The sequence below is a fragment of the Homo sapiens genome, chromosome 14 (genome assembly GCF_000001405.40).
Source record: "Homo sapiens chromosome 14, GRCh38.p14 Primary Assembly".
NCBI classification, from domain to species: domain Eukaryota; kingdom Metazoa; phylum Chordata; class Mammalia; order Primates; family Hominidae; genus Homo; species Homo sapiens.
The window spans coordinates 68,926,833-68,945,592 of NC_000014.9; the positions used below are offsets into that span (position 1 = coordinate 68,926,833).

The window sequence follows — 18,760 nt, forward strand, 5'->3', positions numbered from 1 at the left end:
TCACACCAGCGAGTATCAGGGGAAAAGAAATAGCTGCTTAGATTTAGGAGCAAAAGTTGAAGAGCCTATGAACAAGAAAGGGAACAGGGGGACAGAAGCTATCCCTCCACACAGGCGGGGAGAAAGGGACAGCATTATGATACCCTGTGACTTTGGGCTTAATTTTTCAATCATGTCTCACTAGTAACTTACCAATATGGAATACCTCTCTCTCCCTGCAAACATATCTCCACTCTGCAGGCCAGCCTACTCCCATGATGAAGAGAAACGGCGTATTGTGCTATCCCAGAGCTCTGGGAAGACTGGCACACAGATCAGGGTAGATAGGGGACATACACTGATTTCCAATGTCCTCTCTATCTTGCTTAACTAACTCACTCATCTTTCAAGACTGGGTAGAGATATCACCTCCTCCAGGAAGCCTTCCTGATAGCCACCTGCTCTGTCTGGGCTGGACACACACCCATAGCACCCTGCATTCACCCATTATGCCTAGCCACTTGTCAGCTCCACACCCCCAGCCTGGGAGCTCTTGGAGGTAGAAACTCAATGTTCACCTTTATATCCCAGAGACCCAGGGCACAGAGTCAGGGACACAGCAGTGAACTAAACAGCAAAAGTCCCTGCCTCTGTGCAGCAGACATTCTAGTGGACGTAAGAATTGGGCAGCCAGGTGAAGGAACAAGTGGGGAACTGGATGCAAAGCTGAGAGGGTCCTGGGAGATCCAACTGCACCTTGTGGGTGAGGCTGAATGCTCTCAGGGCAGGGGGTGATGGGACAAACAGTGCTCTTAGGGACCCCCTGGACACAGAAGACAGCTCGGAGGAAAGAGGACGCAGCAGGACAGGGAAGCGTATGTACCAAGCATCCTTCCTCCGCTGCTGGCACTGCAGGAGATGAGAGGGCCTTTAGCCTTTATCCTTATTTTAACTTCTTTTTATTGGTAGAAAAATATTAAAGGATTTTTAACTCTTTAAAACAAATATAATTTACTTTGGTTTTGCACATTCTCTCCCAGCTGACACTGGTCTGCCCAGTGTCTTCAAGCTGTGCGTTCACACTTGAGTGTGCGTTGACACTGGGGTGGGTGGTCTTTTCTCATTTATCACCATCTTGGCCATCCCCAGCACCCACTCCCAGTCCCCCAGCACTGAACCTTCAGCCTAAGGTTTTCTATTTCCTTGAGGGGAACTGTGTCAGCCCCAGCAACTCGAAGGGATGCTTTCAGGTCCAATGTGGCCTGAAACATCCAGGGTCCTAGCAGGCACTGCCCTGAGCCCACCCGCCCAGCTGGGGGCTATAAATTCTCACTGTTTACTACCCAGTCGTGGAGGGGGTTGGGATGAGATAAAGGAGGAAGAGGCTGCTGTCGTAAAAAGACACTGCTTTTGAAAGAGGAAAAGTGCTGTTGAAAGCAGCCAGCCCCCTTTCCTGGAAAAGCCAGGCTCAGCCCTGGGAAACAAAACACACCTATGTTTGCTCAGGTCTCCTGGACAAAGCCCTGGAACATGGCTTTACTAAAACCCCCAATCCTCAGAGGCCCCATAGATTACTGCCTTGAAGGGGGCTCTGGGCACCTCTCAAACTGGAAAGTTTCCCCAACAAGCAGCAGCCACCGCAAAGTTTAGGCTAGAGGAGGAAATGGTGGCTGTGACCCGGTGATCAACAACATGCACTTCGGGACGCATCAGAGCTGGATTCAGTTCTCAGATCCACTATTTACTGGCTGTGTGACCTTCAGATTAACCTTCCTAAACTTCAGTTCCCTTTGCAGTAAAACAGGGATAGTAACAGCGCTCCATAAAAGTTAAAAAGATTAACTCAAAAACATCTGTAAAAAACTTGCCATTTAGTAAGTGCTCAGTGAACAGTGGGGAGGAGGAAGATGACAGGACTAGCTCCCCCAAAATGATCCCGGGACCAGGTCTCAGAGGACTTGCTCTTGCTCCTCTGCACTCCCACCCCACATCCTCTCCCTGCCCCCAGCCACCAAACTCTCCTGTCGTAGGTCCCACCCCACCACGCGCTGTACTGTTTCCAAGATGACAACATGCGAGCTCTTTTTTGCACCGGTGCTGGTGTGTTCGTGGGAGAGGGCTGGAACTGTGGTGAGTTCCTGGGAGAGGGGTGGAACTGTGGTGAGTTCCTGGGAGAGGGGTGGAACTGTGGCACATTCGTGGGAGAGGGCTGGAACTGTGGCGGGTTCGTGGGAGAGGGCTGGAACTGTGGCGGGTTCGTGGGAGAGGGCTGGAACTGTGGTGCGTTCGTGGGAGAGGGCTGGAACAGTGGCGTGGGTGCAGAAAACCAGGGATTTTGACAGTGGCCTTGTGCACCTCCGCAGAGGAGGTCTGACAGCTGAACGCACACCATACAACTATATCCTCCCCTCCAGCCTGGGGCAGCCTTGGTCTTGAGGCTCAAGCTCCAGCATGAGGGGGTGGCACCTGCTCCTTAGCAGTGCTCCAGGGGTCCAGCAAGGAGAGGAAGGTCAAAGCCACAGGAGAGGCCCATGCTAGAGACCCACGGCCCCAAGACCTCCAGCCTGGACGCCCAGCGTGGTGGGGAGTGCTACCCCGGCAGGTTTGTGGCCCAGCCGCATTCAAACAAAGGGTACAGGGCCATGTTACTGCTCAGCCCGATGAAGCCCTGCCCTATCTGGCCTCCCCTCACCCCAAGAGCCATCTTCAAGTCACCTCCTTGGGCCATACTCAGGCTCACAGCCTGACAAAGGAGATCCGGGATGGCAGGTCTTCAGTGGATACACTCCGTTCCAGAAATGGCTTCAGGGATGCCGAGAGGTCCCAGGAAAAGTCCTTGGGACCAAGGACCACACTGGGATGTTCCCGCAGAGCAGCGGCAACGGCCTGTTCCCCTCTCAGCAGCCCTGTCTGCACTCCACCTGCCCCGGCCCTGCAGAGTCTCTGAGGACCCGGGACAGAGGGAGGGGCCGCAAAACAGCCTGGACCCCTGCTCAGCCTCTCAATGACCTCGAAGCCACTGCCCATGTCTAATCCAGTTTGAAGGTGGTTTGAGGAGGTGGAGAGTGCAACTGTCCAGCCCTGTAGTTCAGGGTTGCAAAGAGGGACCTGGCCAGGCGCCAACAGAGGGGCCCCAGCCCAGGCTAGGAGCCATGGAGCTGGCCATGGAGACAGAATCACATTGTCCACCTTCTGTACAGGTCTCATAGCCTTGCTCTCACAGACTCCGCTAACCTCTTTTCGTCACATCTTTCACAATTATCATGTGATATACTTCCTTTAAAATGTGTTGGAAAGGAATATGGCTTTTGAGAACGTGCCTTCCCTGCCCCCAAGCTCAGACAGACACACTGCAATGTTTCTTTAGCCACAACAGGCCTCTTTGAGCCTCAGTTTTCAAGTCTGTAAAATGGGGGACAATAGCATCTCCCAGGCATGACTGACAGGAAGTACCCTTATTCAGTAAATAATTTTAGCATAGTAATGTTGTTAATTTATGTGAATAATGACAATATAGTATCAATGTGTCTGAAATATAGTAAGTGTGCAGAAAGTGGTAGTTCCTACCGTCATCATCACTGCCTGAATTTTAGATTCTAAAAGGATGTCTGAATAATCACACTCTGCAAGGAGCTGGGGTACAGAAGATTACCCCAGAAGCATGAGTTAGGGGATGAGCTTTTACAATCAAGCATCCTTCATACCCTTGGTCATGGGGAGAGGGAGAGGTAAATCACAAGACCCTAAAGCAGGAGGGCCATGGGATTCACTCGGATCACTCTGCAGAAAAGTATCCATGGGAATGCAAGGATTTAGTCACTCTAAAGAAGACTGCAAATCCAGGCCTATCAGCTTCTAGCAGGTGGTAAACCCTGGACAAGTGACTTGACATGGCTCTGCCTTAAGGCACCATCTGTAAAATGGGGGTAGTAATAGCACCTACCCAGAGGATTATTGGAGGAGTCAATGAGACAGTCCACTTAAAACACTGAAAATTATAGCAACTGCAATAATTATCTATTGTTACTATTGCCACCACAATTGGGGGTATAATTATTATAAGTTTATGCTGTTAACACACCTCATAAAAGAATGTTAGAGCTAGAAGAGGTGTTAGGCACCATCCAAGTCAAACCTTGACTTTACGACTAAGGACACAAAAAAGAGAGGGTGAGAGGCTTTCCCCAGTCCACACGGCTGGATTATATTCACAACTCAACCTCCTGACTCCTCCAGCCCCTCACACTTTCTGCTCCACCCGAATGACGTGGATTTCAGGTGCAGGCATGGGTGGGTGCTGGAAGGGAACAGCAGAACCAAGGCTGAGATTCTCAATGGTCAAACAGGTAAGCTGAATCTCATAGGGTATCACTGAAAATGGGTCACTGTGAAGTGAAAACACCAACCAGATGAAATCCAGGGGACCGCAGCCAGCATTGGCACAGAGAGTCTGAGTTGATGGAACATCAGCAGAGTTGGCAGAAGATGGGCAGCCCCTCTGGGGCAGCCTGGCAGACAGAGGCAGAGCCCAGGGACAGACAGGTGTTGTCAAGAGGCAAGAGAGATCATTACAGATGGTAAGCAGACCAGACAGCCCTTTGAGGGGAACTTTGGGAACTGGGGCTCTATGACCAGGAGGAGAGATGAGATGGCTGAGGGATTCACTGCAAATATCTAAAGATCCTTCCATGAATGAGTGAGTAAACTTGCTGGGTACAGACCAGGCAGAATAGGCCAGTGGTGAGGAATGGTGAGGAATGTGGATTCTACGGCAAGATGGACCTGGATCCACTGAGTGACCTTGTGCATGTGACTTGACTTCTCCAAGCCTCCATCTCCACATCTGTAAAATGGGGATGGTAATAGAACCACCTCACAGGGTGGGGAAGATCGTTGCAGTAGCACGTGGAAAATGCTAAGCAGAATCACCCACACACAGGCTCCAAAAATGGGAGCTACTATTCTTAGAATGAAGGACAGAAAGTTTCAGGGAAGATTAGAGTTCAACATAATAAAGAACAGACCACAAGCTGGCTGTACAGTGTGCTACCTGCGGCTGAAGGCAGGGCTCGGCAAGGGCACTGGGGAAGGGATTCAAGCAGCCCCTCCAGTTGAGCTAAGTAAGGTCCTTTATCACTCTGACTCTATAAGAGCCTGAGGCAGCCCTTGAAAATGTTGGTTTAGAGGATTTTTTTTTCAGCCTGCCAAGTAGCTGGGACTCAAGGTGCACACTACCATGCCCAGTGTGATGTTTAATATTGATTGTCAACTTGATTGAATTAAAGGATGCAAAGTATTATTCCTGGGTGTGTCTGTGAGGGTGTTGCCAAAGGAGATTAACATCTGAATCAGTGGACTGGGAAAGGCAGACCCACCCTCAATCTGGGTGGGCACCATCTAATCAGCTGCCAGCACAGCCAGAATAAAAGCAAGCAGAAGAACGTGAAAAGACTAGACTGGCTGAGTCTCCCAGCCTCCATCTCTCTCCCGTGCTGGATGCCTCCTGCTCTCAAACATCAGACTCCAAGTTCTTCAGCTTTGGGACTCGGACTGGCTTCCTTGCTCCTCAGCTTGCAGATGGCCTACTGTGGGAGCTCGCCTTGTGAGTGTGTGAGTCAGTGCTCCTTAACAAACTCCCCTTTATATATACATCTATCTCATTAGTTCTGTCCCTCTAGAGAACCCTGACTAATACACCCAGCTTTTTTTTTTTTTTTTTTTTTTTTTTAATTTTTCTTGGAGACTGGGTCTCTCTATGTTACCCAGGCTGGTCTCAAACTTTGGGCCTCAAGTGATCCTCCCACCTCATCCTCCCAAAGTGCTGGTTACAGGCGTGAGCCACTGCACCTGGTCTAGACCTGTTAGAAGAGTTCAGTCAGACCAAGGGTCACACACGCCAAGGTCTAAGCAAGGTTTCTCAACCTCAGTACTACTGATATTTGGGGTCTGAAAAATTTTTTGGTGGGGGCAGGGAAGCTGCTGTATGCATCATAGATGTTCAGCAGCACCCCTGGACCACACCCTAGTTGCTGGTAACATCGCCCAACCCCAAGCTATGACAAGCAAAATTCACCCCTCAGTTCCTCATCTGGAGGAGACAAACACATATGCCACAGATCGTAATAACAGCAGCAGCTAATACGTATTGACCATTTGCTACACGCCAGATCCTCTCCTGAGTGCTTTACCTCCTTTAACTCATTGAATCATCACAATGACACTGTGGGACAAGTATTATTCTCCCCACTTTAGAGATGAGGAAACTAAGGCACAAGGAGGGGTCAAGTGTAGGACAAGTTAGTCCTTACCTCCTTGTATTTTTTTTATTATTATTATTATTTGCGATGTATCTCGCTCTGTCGCCCTGGCTGGAGTGCAGTGGTGCGATCTCGGCTCACTGCAACATCTGCCTCAGGGGTTCAAGCAATTCTCCTGCCTCAGCCTCCTGAGTATCTGGGATTACAGGCAAGCACCACCATACCTGGGTAATTTTTTTGTATTTTTAGTAGAGACGGGGTTTCACCGTGTTGGCCAGGCTGGTCTCAAACTCCTGACCTCAAGTGATCCGCCCGCCTCAGCCTCCCAAAGTGCTGGGATTACAGGCATGAGCCACCACGCCCGGCCACCTCCCTGTATTCTTATGCATTGTTCTTGAAACAGTGGCCCTCTTGGGCTATCCTTTGTTTTTCTACCCAGAAGAAAACATGGCTATCCTGAAATACAAGTATACTAGGGTGCATGAGAGCTACTCAATGGCAACTAGAATACGGCCTCTGTATCACGGCAGGAGGTGGCCCGGGGCAGAAGCAGCTCCTCTGTGCCTCATATGGGAACATAGGCCCTTGGCTGCCACACCTCCAATGAAGAAGAGACAGAAATCTGAACTTATGCTGGGTGTAGTGGCTTATGCCTGTAATCCCAGCACTTTGGGAGGCCAAAGTGGAAGGATCACTTGTGTCCAGGAGTTCGAGACCAGCCTGGGCAACTTCATCTCTACAGAAAAAATCAAACAAAATTTAGCCAAGCATGGTGGTACACACCTGTAGTCCCAGCTCCTCAGTAGGCTAAGGCAGGAAGATTGCTTGAGCCTGGGAGATGATGGCTACAGAGAGCCATGATTGTGTCACTACAGTCCAACCTGGGGTGACAGAGTGAGACCCTGTCTCAAGAAAAAAAAAAAAAAAAATCTAGATTTTTATGTAGACTCCCTCAGTTTTGAAATGCTGCCACAATATAAAAATAAGACATCCCACAGGCCCCCCAAAAATGTCAGCAGGCTAAATGTGAATTAAGACCCAATGGGTCTTTAGTTTCACAATGGGAAAACATGAAAGCTTTCTAAGTCTGCTAATAAAGTTACACACGTAATAATGTATGACATGCTAAAACAAGCACGCAGCAGACAGCTGTGCCTACCACAGTTAACACTCCTGACAGGTCTTGGGGACATCAGCCATCTGGGAGTCGGCAAAAGCTGGCAAGACTTCCCGTAAGGGGCAGCGGGCGCGCCTCTCCTGGGGCTGGATCAATGAGGAACCCACGTCAATACCTGTCACAAGGGCCTGTGGTTAGACATGTCACGCACATGCTGCCATGCTTGTGAATTTTCAAAAGGTGTATTTGTCACTTATTACATGTGCAAAGTAGTTTTCTGATCATTTCCACTGCTGGTGGGTTCAATGACAAAGGCACATTACTGTGGGCAGGCGATTGGTACAACTCTGATGGACAGCAACTCACCAAGGTGAACTAAGATGGGCACCAGCCCTTAGCCCAATTCTGGGCCACCATCCTGAATAAAGACTAATAATTCTAAATATAAAGCAAAGGCTGTAAGCATACAAATGTTCTTGCCAGTATTCCTTGAGAGAGAAAAATTAGAAAGAGACAGAAATTGTATTAATAAGGTATTAGGTTAAGTATATTAGGCTTCATCATCCACTTAATGAAATATTACATGGCCAAAATGATGGGTTCTGAAACTATGTTACTATGAAAAAAACTGCTTATATATAATTAACCAAAAAAAGCAGGATTCAAGACTGTATGTACTGCAAGTTTAAAACTATGTGGGCAATCACACAAACATGAAAAAAATGACTAAAAACAAAACACATCAAAATGCTAACAGGGCTTGCACTCCAGTAACTGAACTGATTAGGATTTTTTGCTGTTTTACAGTTGTCTGTAAATGTGGTTGGTTGTGGGCTTTGTTTTTGTTTTTTTTTAAGATGGAGTTTTGCTCTTGTTGCCCAGGCTGGAGTGCAATGGCACAATCTCCGCTCACTGCAACCTCCATCTCTCAGGTTCAAGCTATTCTCCTGCCTTACCCTCCCCCGACTAGCTGGGATTACAGGCATGTGCCACCACACCCAACTAATTTTGTATTTTTAGTAGAGATGGGGTTTCTCCATATTGGTCAGGCTGGTCTCGAACTCCTGAGCTCAGGTGATCCACCTGCCTCTGCCTCCCAAAATGCTGGGATTACAGGCATGAGCTACTGTGCCTGGCAATGTGGTTGGTTTTTATGATGATCTGCTCCCTCTCCCTTCTCCTGTCAGAGAGCTCTCTGTTCATTTTTTTTTTTTTTTTTTTTTTTTTTGAGAGGAGTCTGCCCAGGCTGGAGTGCAGTGGTGCAATCTCAGCTCACTGCAACCTCCACCTCTCAGGTTCAAGCAATTCTCCTGCCTCAGCCTCCTGAGTTGCTGGGACTACAGGCGCGTGCCACCACGCCCGGCTAAGTTTTGTATTTTTAGTAGAGACGGGGTTTTGCTATGTTGGCCTGGCTGGTCTCAAACTCCTGACCTCAAGCGATCTGTCCACCTTGGCTTCCCAAAGTGCTGGGATTACAGGCATGAGCCACCACACCCGGCTAGAGCGCTCTATTCTGATGTTTAAGCCTCAACACACAATCCAGGCCATCCACTCTGGCTGACCTCCCCAGAGAAGCCTCCATTGACAAAGGTGCTTTTTCCATTTGTTGCACAGTGGAATAAACAAGATAACCCACCTGCAGCCAAACAAGACTAGCTGGGCAGTGGTGGGACAGCCCAGGCTCCAAACTCACGTGCTGGCCACACCTCTTCCAAGCACATCCTCCCACTCTCCCGGAATCAAAAATACCAGCCACCATTCAGGCCAGGGGAGTTAAGTGTTCAGAGGATGGGATCAGGAAACCTGGGACCTGCCCTGGCTCAGCCAGGCGTGTGACCTCAGATAAGTCACTTCAATCCCTTCCAGCTCTGCTAGCGCAAACAAGTCCCTCCTACCTTGCAGGCTGGAGCCCAGAAACTTTTCCCATCAGAACACGCCTAATGAGAAGACACAACCAAACAGCACCCGGCAACAATCTTTTGTTCCTGTGTAGGGTTTATTCTGATTGGTGGGCTCTCAAAGAAAGCCAAAAAATTTCCCAGGGACAATTTCATCTCCATGAACTCAAAACATACTCAGTGTTTCTGTCTCAAGACAGCCAGCTCCTAACCCTTCTCAGCAAGCAGAATCCTGACGTTAGTGTCCCGGACAGCATCTAAAAGCTTTATGCTAGAACATTCCTAGCAGGACACAGAAGGACCAGGATCATCGGCTGCCTCCAGGGAGAGAAATGGGAAGGCAGGGGGTAGAGAACACTTGCTTTTCACAGAATATGCTTTTGTTTGAGTTTTGTACCAAAATGTGCTGTCATTACCTTTTTTTTTTTTTTAAGTATGCAAATAAAAGAACAGTCTGTCTAGGGGGTGGCGGGAGGAACTGTTACGGGAATTGAAGCTGCCGATTAGGCCTAATCAAGATGACAACCTTCCAAAAGCACCGAGAGTTCGTGGCAGAGCCCATGGGGGAAGAGCCAGTGGGGAGCCTGGCCGGGTGAAGTCCTGGGCAAGAAGCCGGAGGAAAGGGGCTTTGACAAAGCCTATGTTGTCCTTGGCCAGTTTCTGGTGCTGAAGAAAACTGAAGACCTCTTCCAGGAATGGCTGAAGGACACTTGTGGTGCCAACGCCAAGCAATCCCAGAACTGCTTCTGATGCCTTTAAGAGTGGTAGGACAACTTCTTGTGATGCTCTCTGGGAAGCCCTCAATCCCCAGCCCTCATCCAGAGTTTGCAGCCATGAAGGGACTCCTCCCCTGTCCTCTACAGAGGAAAAGATTGCTATTGTACTCACCTCTGATGTACTCCAGGGTCTTTTGAGAGTTTTCTCCCCTAACCATTTCAACTTTTTTGGATTCTCGCTCTTGTATGCCTCCTCCTTCCTTTTTCCCTTGCCAATTCCCTGGTGACAGTTATCAGCTTTCCTGCATGGATTCCTGGCCCCGTCTCTCACCCCCACCCTCACTTGCAGTCCATTTGATACCATTTGGCTCCTTTTTTGGCAGAACAGTCACTGTCCTTGTAAAGTTTTTTAGATCAATAAAGTTAGTGGTTTTCAAAAAAAAAAGAAAAAAGAAAAGTCTGTCTGGGAATATATACATTTAATTGTTATGTCAGACCTCTAGGATAGGATAGAGAGGACTTCCCATTTCTCTGGGATTATTTGGCAAGGGTGGGACAAGGCTCAGGTATTATGGAGGAGGAAAAAGGATGTTTCCAAAATAAAGATAAAAAATGAAAAAATTATCCCATCTATTTAAAAGAATGAGTTTGAGAATAAAATAAGATATAATATAGGGAAAAGGCTCTGAAGAACTTTAAAGTGCCTTATCAGTGTAAAATCTTAAAGAAAGTCATAATTAGGGAGCAGGACATGAGGATACACCAGCAATCACACACATCTCCCCAATAATTAAGACAGCAAACTGCTAACTGGGTAAGATAAAGGGCTGTGCTCTGGCCAAGTGACCCCAGGAAATCACCCAAATGAGCTTCTACACTTCCTGAAAATGGTACACAGCTTCCTATACAAGCCAGCTTCTCGTCTGATGGTCGTTCTTCTCCCTGAGTAGAGCACCCAGGACTCTGGTCTAGGCTCATCGAGTCAAAAACAAACTCACCAGCCTCCCCAGGCAAGCACCCTGCCAGCCCAAGCCAGCCCCCTGCTGTGTGGGCGGGGTGTGTGAACCAGCAGGGTCCTTGGAGAAGGCCAGGCCAGCACCTGTGCTCAGCGTTGAGTCCTCTGCAGCATCCACTGATGTTGAAGACGTTACTGAGGTGCAGCCAGGGGGCGTGCTGGAATCCCTCTGACCCCCATACAAGTATGGCCAGTCTGGCCAGGGCGTGGGCCCTGGGTGGTTTGTCTAAGCAAAGACCTGCCCAGAAGTGATCTCAGATGCCCAGTGTTCTGGCATGGTAAATAGGAGTATCTGGCTAACTTATCAGGGGCTGACTGCCAGCCCTTCAAAGCCAGCCGTCAGCTGGTTCATGCGCTGATGAAAAGCAGAGTCTTCGGGAACATCTCCACCCAGATCTGCCCACTTCCCACCCACCTGGGAGTGGCTGCTGAAAAAGCTGACAACCACCAGGCCTCTGCTGAGACCTGGCACTGCTCTAACAGCCTGTCCCCAGGACATGTGAGTGCTGGGGTCCTGGAGATTCAGAGTAGGGGGGACTGGGGGTGCACCTTGGACTTTGGAACAAGACAGACCTAGGCTCCAGTGCCAGCCCACACCTCACATTACATCTGTCTGCTTGGACAGGAGATTTAATCCTAGCCTCAGGATCCCTATCTGTAAAATGGGGATAACAAGGCCTACAATGGCACAGAATGAAAGACGACCAAATTAGACCCTATGTCCTGAAAGACTTAGCCTGGTGCTGTGTCCACAACAGACACTTAAACAATGTTAACCCAGCAGGTCCTCACCACTCACTGGCTGTGTGGCTTTAGTTAAACTGTCTAGGTGTCAATTGCCTCACCTTACAATGGGGATAAAGAACATCACCACTTTGTGAAGATTATGACAATGGAAGCAAAACAGCCAGCAAGATACCCTGGACACATCAGGAGCCCAGTCAATGTCAGCGGTCAGCATGCTCTCACTTCCCATCCACTGTCTATTTAATCAAAGTTAATCATTCACAGAGCAAGAAAGAAGTCCTGTTGTTTTTTTTCCCCACTGATGAGAGAACTCTGAGACGGGCCTCTGGCCAAGAGGAGGAGATGGGGAGGGGGGAGTGGAGCCTGCATTTCCTGGTTTACACCCATCTACAGCCCATTTCAAAAGACATAGCACCAGACACCCAGAGGGTCACCAGGGCCAAGAAGCAGGGGGCCTGCAGCTTTTTCTGGGAGGCCTAACAAAGGCACCGTGCTTGAGAGGGCTCCTGGGCCACCATGAGACTCTGATCTGGCCTCCCTGCCATCCAAGGCCCCCCAGAAGGCAGACTGCCCAGCTCCTTCTTGCCTGGTACAGGTGGAACCTATGGGCTCCCAGGAGAAATCAGAGCCACTTTAAAACAGGTGGACACACGATCCTAGTGAAGAAACAGGTCTGTCCTCTTAGCTCCTCGCCAATGAGAGTCAACTGCCTCAGCCAATCTGTCACCATCCACAGCCTCACCCCTCCCAGGGACCCAAGAGCCCACCCCAACTGCCAGCCACCAGCTAGCTCTGTCCAGTACTTGCGACTGGGCCTCCCGGAGCCTTGGTTCTCACATCAGTAAAGACTTCTGTGGGCCAGAATGATGATGGTGAAAATAGTAATAATAAAATAAAGATAAAATGAGCCTGCAGCCCATAAAGTAGTCACGAGGGAGGGCTATGTGAGCTAGTGCAAAGGGCTCAGTCTGCTACCAGACGCAGACCAAGCACTCACTAGATGTTAAAACACAAAAGCACCTAGGAAGACCGAAAGCGGCTTGATTAGTGGTTTCTTAGGGCTGGGAACGGAGGAGTTGGGGGAGGTGATAGCTAAGGGGTACAGAATATCTTTCTAAGGTGATAAAAATGTTCAAAACTGATGGCAAAAATAGCTGCCCATTTATGTGACTATCCTAAAAACCATGAAGTTGTATAAATGGGTTAATTGTATGGGTATGTGAATGACATCTCAATAAAGCTGTTATTTCTCTTTTAAACTAAAATGTTCCAGGACCCCGCTAAGCCTTTTATATCAAGACGTGGTTTTGTTTTTAACCCATTTGGCCCATTGGAAAGAAACCAGGCTCAAAGACAGGCCCTGGACCAGAGCCCTCTCGGGGGACTGATGTAATTGAGCTAGTTCAGCTACTGAACAGTGGCTGGTAAGCCTGCTGAGATGAGGATTACTAAATGGGCGGAGCTGGTCTTCGAAGCAGAGTGGCACCCGCTCCGGGAGGCCAGTGTGAGAACAGCCTCCTCCCCGGTCCTCCGGGGTTACAGTTTGGTCCTGCTGTAACCCCTCCCCCATGTCTGGAGTCTGATTCTGGCCCTTGCAGGTCTGAGAGCACACAGGCCTCAGCAGGCTGTAGCTCCCAGCAGTGGCCAGCACATTCCTTCCCCAAAGAAGGAAAAGCCACCAAAAGTGAGGTCATTTGGTTTTTTTGGCACAGATGCTGAGAGCTCTGGGTCACTCAATTCCATAGAGAACTCCCCCAGCTGACAGGGATTTGGCCCAGCCTGCTACTCATACAATATGGGAACCCGGGGTCTGGCAGACTCTGGCCCCTAACTTGACCCCTCCATGTAGTTGAGGTATGACCCTCAGTCTTCCAGCTTGAAACCTCCATGGTCTTATCTGTGGAATGGGATGATGAAATCCACCCCTCCTGGGGTTGGGCTAAGAATTAAATAGCACAAAACTAGACTTACGGTAGGGGCTCAAAAATTAAATAAGGCTGGCTCTGGTATCTCACACCAGCAATCCCAGCACTTTGGGAGGCTGAGGCAGGAGGATTGCCTGAGGCCAGGAGATCAAGGCCAGCCTGGGCAACATAGCAAGACCCTGTCTCTACTTAAAAAAAAAAAAAAAAAATTAGCTTCTATCCTCTCCCCAGGGTCATTTCTCCTGAATGTGCCTTGTTGACCAGAAACAAGGACCTGCCTAGATTCCAAACCCCTGTGTGGAAGCTCCTCTCCAAAGGTCAAACCACTTATCATTACAAATTTGCAAGAAAGAAAGAGATCCTGCTTGGACAAGGAAGTTTTCCAAGTCTCCTTTCTGTGCCCCTAAAATAATCTCCCAGCAGGAGCTTCTGTCCTGGTCTGTCCCACAGTCCACCCCTGGGTCACCCGGACCCCTCAAAGCACCTCCTTGGGCATAGTGACTGGGAACTCTGACCCCCATGGTGGTTCCGGTCACCAGGCTGTCAGCTGGAGCATCAGTTCTGTCAACTGCTTTTGGGGACTTGGGAGGGGTTCCTGTGGAGGCCCCAGAGGACGAATTACTGCACCTCTTTAAAAGGGGCATGAAGCCCCTGAAGAGCAGCCAGGGTTCAAAGTCTGGGCTCACAGTGACTGGCCCAATGACAAAAGGGGAGAAGCCAGGCAGAAAAAATAGAAAAAAGAACAGCAGGATAATTCAGTGCGGTGGTTCTCAAACTTGAATATGTAAACTTGAACATTTACCAGAATCACCTGGAGGGCTTGTTAAAATACAGATTGCTGGGCCCCACCGCCAGTTTCTGATTCCAAAGTTCTAGGCCGGCAGAGAAACTGCATTTCTAACAAGTATCCAGGTGATGCTGATGCTGCCGGTCCAGAGACCACACTCTGAGGACCAAGGCTTAGTGGCTAAGAACGGATTTGGGCACAGAAGAGCTGGGTTCAATATGGGTCTGCCACTTACTAACCTTGGAACCTAAGCAAGTTCTTGACCTTTCTGAGCCTCAGTTTCCTCATCTGTAAAACAGGGATAATACCTTTCTCAACTGGTTTGGTAAGGAGTTTCAATGAGATAATCTATGCAAAAAGCCCAGCACACCCTAAGTAGTTAATAGTGTCTAGAGTTCATTACTAAAGTACAAGAAAGACAAGAGAAAGGGTGCTCATGGAAAGGCATGAGACAAAAAGAACGACTCCAGGACCCATGGAATTGCCCTTGTCTACTAAACGGTCCCAGGTAGCATCAAGGGATCATGGGGGACACCTTGGCACCCAGTGTGTTCCTTCATCTGGGCTAGCAGGATCCAGCAGGCACTGCACCCCAACCTCTCTGACTCAGTCAAAACTTGATCAATAGGACCTCAGCACTGATCCAGCCCAAACTCCAAGCCAATGCCACAGCGCCACCCACCTCCTCCCTGAGGGACAACCACCCGGCAGCAGCCACATGACTTTGCAAAGGAATTCTCAAAGCTCCAGGAAACCCAAGCCCGCAGGATGCCAGAGATACCAGGGGATGAGGCAACAAGTTCAGCAACTGTGGAAGCATCACAAGCCACCACAAGTCACAGCAGTGATTTGCACCCCCGGGGTGGGACTGGAGCAGACACTCCCAGGGAGCAGAACTTCCTGCAGGAACCTACGCAACAGGCAAAAAACTCTGTCTCTACAAAAAATTTAAAAATGTTAGCCAGGCATGATGGTGCACCCCTATAGTTCCAGCTACCCAGGAGGCTGAGGTGGGAGGATCACCCCAGCCCAGGGAGGTCGAGGCTGCAGTGAGCCATAATCATACCACTGCATTCCAACCTGGGAGACAGTGAGACCCCAGCTCAAAAAAAAAAGAACTTCCTGCAGGGACTGAGGCATTAACGGGCTGTATCTATAAACTGCCACTCCTTACAGAGGAGAGGTTTTCTGCAGAGCATCACCATGATTCTCAACACCACCCAGGAGGAAGTTTCTGGTTCCAAGAGAGCTGACTGGAGGAGGGGAGCAGTCTTGGCACTTGGAGGAGAGTTCCTCTTCAGCTGCAGCTCAAAACTAAAATGCATCTCTTTACACCTAATAGACAGGCAAACAATTAGAAAGTTGATTACGCCGAATGTTGGTGGGGTTGAGGGATCCGGAAGCCCTCGTGCCCGGCTGGTGGAGAGTAGACTGTACAGCCATTTTAGGGGGTAACTCAGCAGCGTATCAGGAAATTCCCTGCAACCCAGCAATTCCCTGCTCAATGCAATCCTCACACAGCTGCACTGGGATGTATGGGAGAATGTTCATCGTTGCCTCATTTGTGTCAGCAGGAGAGCAGCTGGGGACAATCTGCATATCCATCACAGGAGATTGTAGGATAAAATGTGACGGACACACAGAGGCCTTGCATGGCCCCGAGATGACACTGGGCCATGACGGAGGAGCCTAACGACCTCAATTCTCTTCACCTGAGGTTCCGCAACACAAAGTTTCTTCTCCCAAAACACAAACACACAGATCAGCACATTAAAAAGCAGCACAGAAACCCTCACCCAGGCCCAGGACAATGTGACCCAGTGCCATCACTGCCTTCCTGGCCTGTCCACTAGGCCGGCGGTGGTCTGGGGTGTCAACAGCTCAGCAGGCTGAGCAGCTCGCCAACACCTTGGTATGGCCAGCCCGGTTTGAGGGACAGGGCGGCAAGGTATCAGCAAGCAGGGAGCAGCAAGCTGAGGAACAGGAATGTGTCTGTGGGAACTTCCATTTCCAGAAGCGTGGGAAGAAGGGCAGCTGCAAGCAGATCTGTCCACCTCTGCTGAGAAGCCCAGGGACCTCTGGGTAGTGCAGGGCAGGACGGGACAAGGGGCTTCCGCCTGTGGTCAGTGTATTCACAGTCCTCTTCAAAGATCAGAGAGATCCACGCCTGCTGTTGCCCACCAGCACCGGGGCTCCTAGGCTTCACTTCAGACACTGCAGCAAGGGCAGCCCTGGGGTGCTTTCGGCTCCCCAGCCCCCTCCCCCCAACCTTGAAAGGAAAGATCAGCGTTCCATCCTCAGTTTCAAGATGGGGACACTGATGGCAACGTGGACTTCAGGGAGCCCCAAGGGGAGGTGAGGGAAGGAGAGGGAATCATATCCTAGGGTTGCTCAAAGATGTTGGCTACCATTATAACCCTCAGTGAGTGCTCACTCACTGTTATCATCACCCACGAGGCATGCGCCATCTCAGCAAGTCCACTCAACAATTCTAGGTTAAAGGAACAAAGGAACAGGACACCAAGGGCCAGTTCCCCACAGTCACACAGCTGGCAAGAGGCAGAACTGAGGTGTGAACTAGGTCGGTCAAAGCCTGAGCCTGCTCCACTCTGCTGGGAGGCTAAACTCTTCCAGGCCAGCCTTCAGACTCCGTTCAGGCTGGGGAATGATGGGGACTCATCCAGCTCTGCCCACCAGCCTGCACCAGTCCCTGCTCAGTCTCAAGCCACACGGGCACCCACTCAGCTGTGCCCAGGCAGTCCCTGAGCCCAGTGGACTGGGGAGGAGAGCCACAGGGCAGCCCAGGACACTTCAACGCTTAAAGCCAGCCACGAGAGGAGGCTGTGGACCTGCTGGCCCCCTGGGGATGCAGAATGGGCCAGCAGGTTTTTCTTCCAGGTCTCAGTTTTAGGGAGATGGAAAGAGGGTTTGAATTCTGTCTTGGGTTTCTGAACACAAAGGCCATTGAGAAAGACCGATGAATAATTAAAGGGGCCACCAAGCCGATGATGTGTGCCAGAGTGTGGGCAACTGGCTTGCTAGGGCTTGGACTGGCCCGATGTTGGCAGCCTCCCTCACGCAGGCCACTGCAGATTCTACAGACTCGCCCAGGCTCCAGGCCTCCCCTGCCAGACAGCTGCAGCCAGATTCATTCATTCCTTCCTTCCATAAATTCTTACTGAGCACTCATTCTGTATCAGGGACTAGGGTTACATCGTGGGCAAATACAGGCACTGTCCTAAGTCATGGAGCCTGCAGTCTAATGGAGAAGACAAACAATAAGCAAAGATTTTATCAATGCGTGTATTTTTGTACACTAAGATCCAGTGCCTATAGGAAAGGTCCTGGAAGGCATAAGGCTAAAACAGGACCCTGAACTGATCCTGGGGGGCTGTAGGGGGGCAGTGTGTCTGATCACTGCCCCAAGGGAGTCAGTGAATCTATAAGGCTGGGGAGTATTAGATGAAAAGTTCGTAAATGTGAAGGGGGCCCACATAACCTGTCATCCAAACCAAGGCACCAGGGGGTCTACTAATAATTACACCAGCATAACAGGTATAGGCAGAGCTGTAGGTCACCCTACACGTGTGTGGGGCGGGTAGCTGTAGGTCACCCTATGCGTGTGTGGGTCAGGTAGCTGTAGGTCACCCTATGCGTGTGTGGAGCAGGTAGCTGTAGGTCACCCTACGCGTGTGTGGGGCTGGGCAACATGGTGAAACCCTGTCTCTACTAAAAATACAAAATTAGCTGGGTGTGGTGGCACGTGCCCATAATCCCAGCTACTCAAAAGGCTAAGGTAGGAGAATCGCTTGAACCCAGGAGGCGGAGGTTGCAGTGAGCCTATTGCACCACTACACTCCAGCCTGGGCAACAGAGTAAGACTCCGGTTCAAAAAAAAAAAAAAGAAAGAAAGAAAGAAAGAAAAGAAGAAGAAGAAGAAAACAAACAAACAGCAAAGGCCCCAGAGAAAAGAGAGTAAGGTCTGTTCAAAAAACTGAAAAAAAAAAAGTCACAGTGCAGGAGGGAAGAAGAGGGTGCCAGAGACTGGAGATCAACTAGCCACATGGGTGTTCGGGTTCCTGCAGCTGTTGTTTCTCCTGAGAGCAGTGGAAGTCACCGAAGACATTTTATTTTAGCTGAAAGAAACAAATGGGGCTGTGGCGGGCTGAGTTGGGCTGGGAGTGCCAATCAGATGCTGGTTACATAATTCCACCTGCATCTTAGAAAGAGACCTCTAAATGCCATGGGAAGGGCAGATCAGAGATGGAAAAGAGTGGCTGAAAAGAGACCAAGCACAAGATCACGAAAAGGTCCCAGCC

The 18,760-nt window shown here is 49.8% G+C and overlaps 1 protein-coding gene and 1 pseudogene across 24 annotated transcripts in view, besides 11 other annotated features; one reads left to right on the plus strand and one right to left on the minus strand.

The window, feature by feature from the left end:
* Positions 1–18,760, minus strand: part of ACTN1 (actinin alpha 1) — a 105,175-nt gene that overhangs the window by 52,705 nt on the left and 33,710 nt on the right. The window contains exon 1 of one of the 24 annotated variants that reach the window (NM_001411036.1): positions 10,966–11,119. The exons of 22 other annotated variants lie outside the window; for them this stretch is intronic. Coding sequence is in view for 1 of the 2 variants with exons in the window: in NM_001424015.1 (NP_001410944.1) it covers positions 10,140–10,331 (192 nt within the window). In the remaining variant the exon portion in view is untranslated. Of the gene's footprint in view, positions 1–10,139; positions 11,120–18,760 lie in introns of those variants that run through there. One more of the 24 variants, NM_001424015.1, reaches the window with a different exon arrangement.
* Positions 6,452–6,962: an enhancer, noted in NCBI's record as "NANOG hESC enhancer chr14:69400001-69400511 (GRCh37/hg19 assembly coordinates)". NCBI's record gives its function as "activates a minimal SCP1, AML or CMV promoter by ChIP-STARR-seq in primed H9 embryonic stem cells {active_cell/tissue: H9 hESC(primed)}" and the evidence as "EXISTENCE:reporter gene assay evidence [ECO:0000049][PMID:30033119]".
* Positions 8,336–8,837: an enhancer, noted in NCBI's record as "H3K4me1 hESC enhancer chr14:69401885-69402386 (GRCh37/hg19 assembly coordinates)". NCBI's record gives its function as "activates a minimal SCP1, AML or CMV promoter by ChIP-STARR-seq in primed H9 embryonic stem cells {active_cell/tissue: H9 hESC(primed)}" and the evidence as "EXISTENCE:reporter gene assay evidence [ECO:0000049][PMID:30033119]".
* Positions 8,838–9,337: an enhancer, noted in NCBI's record as "H3K4me1 hESC enhancer chr14:69402387-69402886 (GRCh37/hg19 assembly coordinates)". NCBI's record gives its function as "activates a minimal SCP1, AML or CMV promoter by ChIP-STARR-seq in naive H9 embryonic stem cells {active_cell/tissue: H9 hESC(naive)}" and the evidence as "EXISTENCE:reporter gene assay evidence [ECO:0000049][PMID:30033119]".
* BANF1P1 (BANF1 pseudogene 1) lies at positions 9,715–10,403 on the plus strand (annotated as a pseudogene).
* Positions 11,510–12,343: an enhancer, noted in NCBI's record as "NANOG-H3K27ac-H3K4me1 hESC enhancer chr14:69405059-69405892 (GRCh37/hg19 assembly coordinates)". NCBI's record gives its function as "activates a minimal SCP1, AML or CMV promoter by ChIP-STARR-seq in primed H9 embryonic stem cells {active_cell/tissue: H9 hESC(primed)}" and the evidence as "EXISTENCE:reporter gene assay evidence [ECO:0000049][PMID:30033119]".
* Positions 11,840–12,134: a silencer, noted in NCBI's record as "tiled region #9851; K562 Repressive non-DNase unmatched - State 23:Low". NCBI's record gives its function as "represses a minimal TATA promoter and a strong SV40 promoter by Sharpr-MPRA in K562 cells {active_cell/tissue: K562}" and the evidence as "EXISTENCE:reporter gene assay evidence [ECO:0000049][PMID:27701403]".
* Positions 11,840–12,134: an enhancer, noted in NCBI's record as "tiled region #9851; HepG2 Activating DNase matched - State 1:Tss". NCBI's record gives its function as "activates a minimal TATA promoter and a strong SV40 promoter by Sharpr-MPRA in HepG2 cells {active_cell/tissue: HepG2}" and the evidence as "EXISTENCE:reporter gene assay evidence [ECO:0000049][PMID:27701403]".
* Positions 11,913–12,057: an enhancer, noted in NCBI's record as "145 bp enhancer 116 fragment used in the MPRA reporter construct; PK_construct_135". NCBI's record gives its function as "activates an SV40 promoter by MPRA in HepG2 cells {active_cell/tissue: HepG2}" and the evidence as "EXISTENCE:reporter gene assay evidence [ECO:0000049][PMID:23512712]".
* Positions 11,978–11,991: a transcriptional cis regulatory region, noted in NCBI's record as "HNF1 motif; MPRA enhancer 116 activity is reduced when this motif is scrambled". NCBI's record gives its function as "necessary for full MPRA enhancer 116 activity {active_cell/tissue: HepG2}" and the evidence as "EXISTENCE:site-directed mutagenesis evidence [ECO:0005528][PMID:23512712]".
* Positions 12,344–13,177: an enhancer, noted in NCBI's record as "H3K27ac-H3K4me1 hESC enhancer chr14:69405893-69406726 (GRCh37/hg19 assembly coordinates)". NCBI's record gives its function as "activates a minimal SCP1, AML or CMV promoter by ChIP-STARR-seq in naive H9 embryonic stem cells {active_cell/tissue: H9 hESC(naive)}" and the evidence as "EXISTENCE:reporter gene assay evidence [ECO:0000049][PMID:30033119]".
* Positions 14,697–15,487: an enhancer, noted in NCBI's record as "H3K27ac-H3K4me1 hESC enhancer chr14:69408246-69409036 (GRCh37/hg19 assembly coordinates)". NCBI's record gives its function as "activates a minimal SCP1, AML or CMV promoter by ChIP-STARR-seq in naive H9 embryonic stem cells {active_cell/tissue: H9 hESC(naive)}" and the evidence as "EXISTENCE:reporter gene assay evidence [ECO:0000049][PMID:30033119]".
* Positions 15,488–16,277: an enhancer, noted in NCBI's record as "H3K27ac-H3K4me1 hESC enhancer chr14:69409037-69409826 (GRCh37/hg19 assembly coordinates)". NCBI's record gives its function as "activates a minimal SCP1, AML or CMV promoter by ChIP-STARR-seq in naive H9 embryonic stem cells {active_cell/tissue: H9 hESC(naive)}" and the evidence as "EXISTENCE:reporter gene assay evidence [ECO:0000049][PMID:30033119]".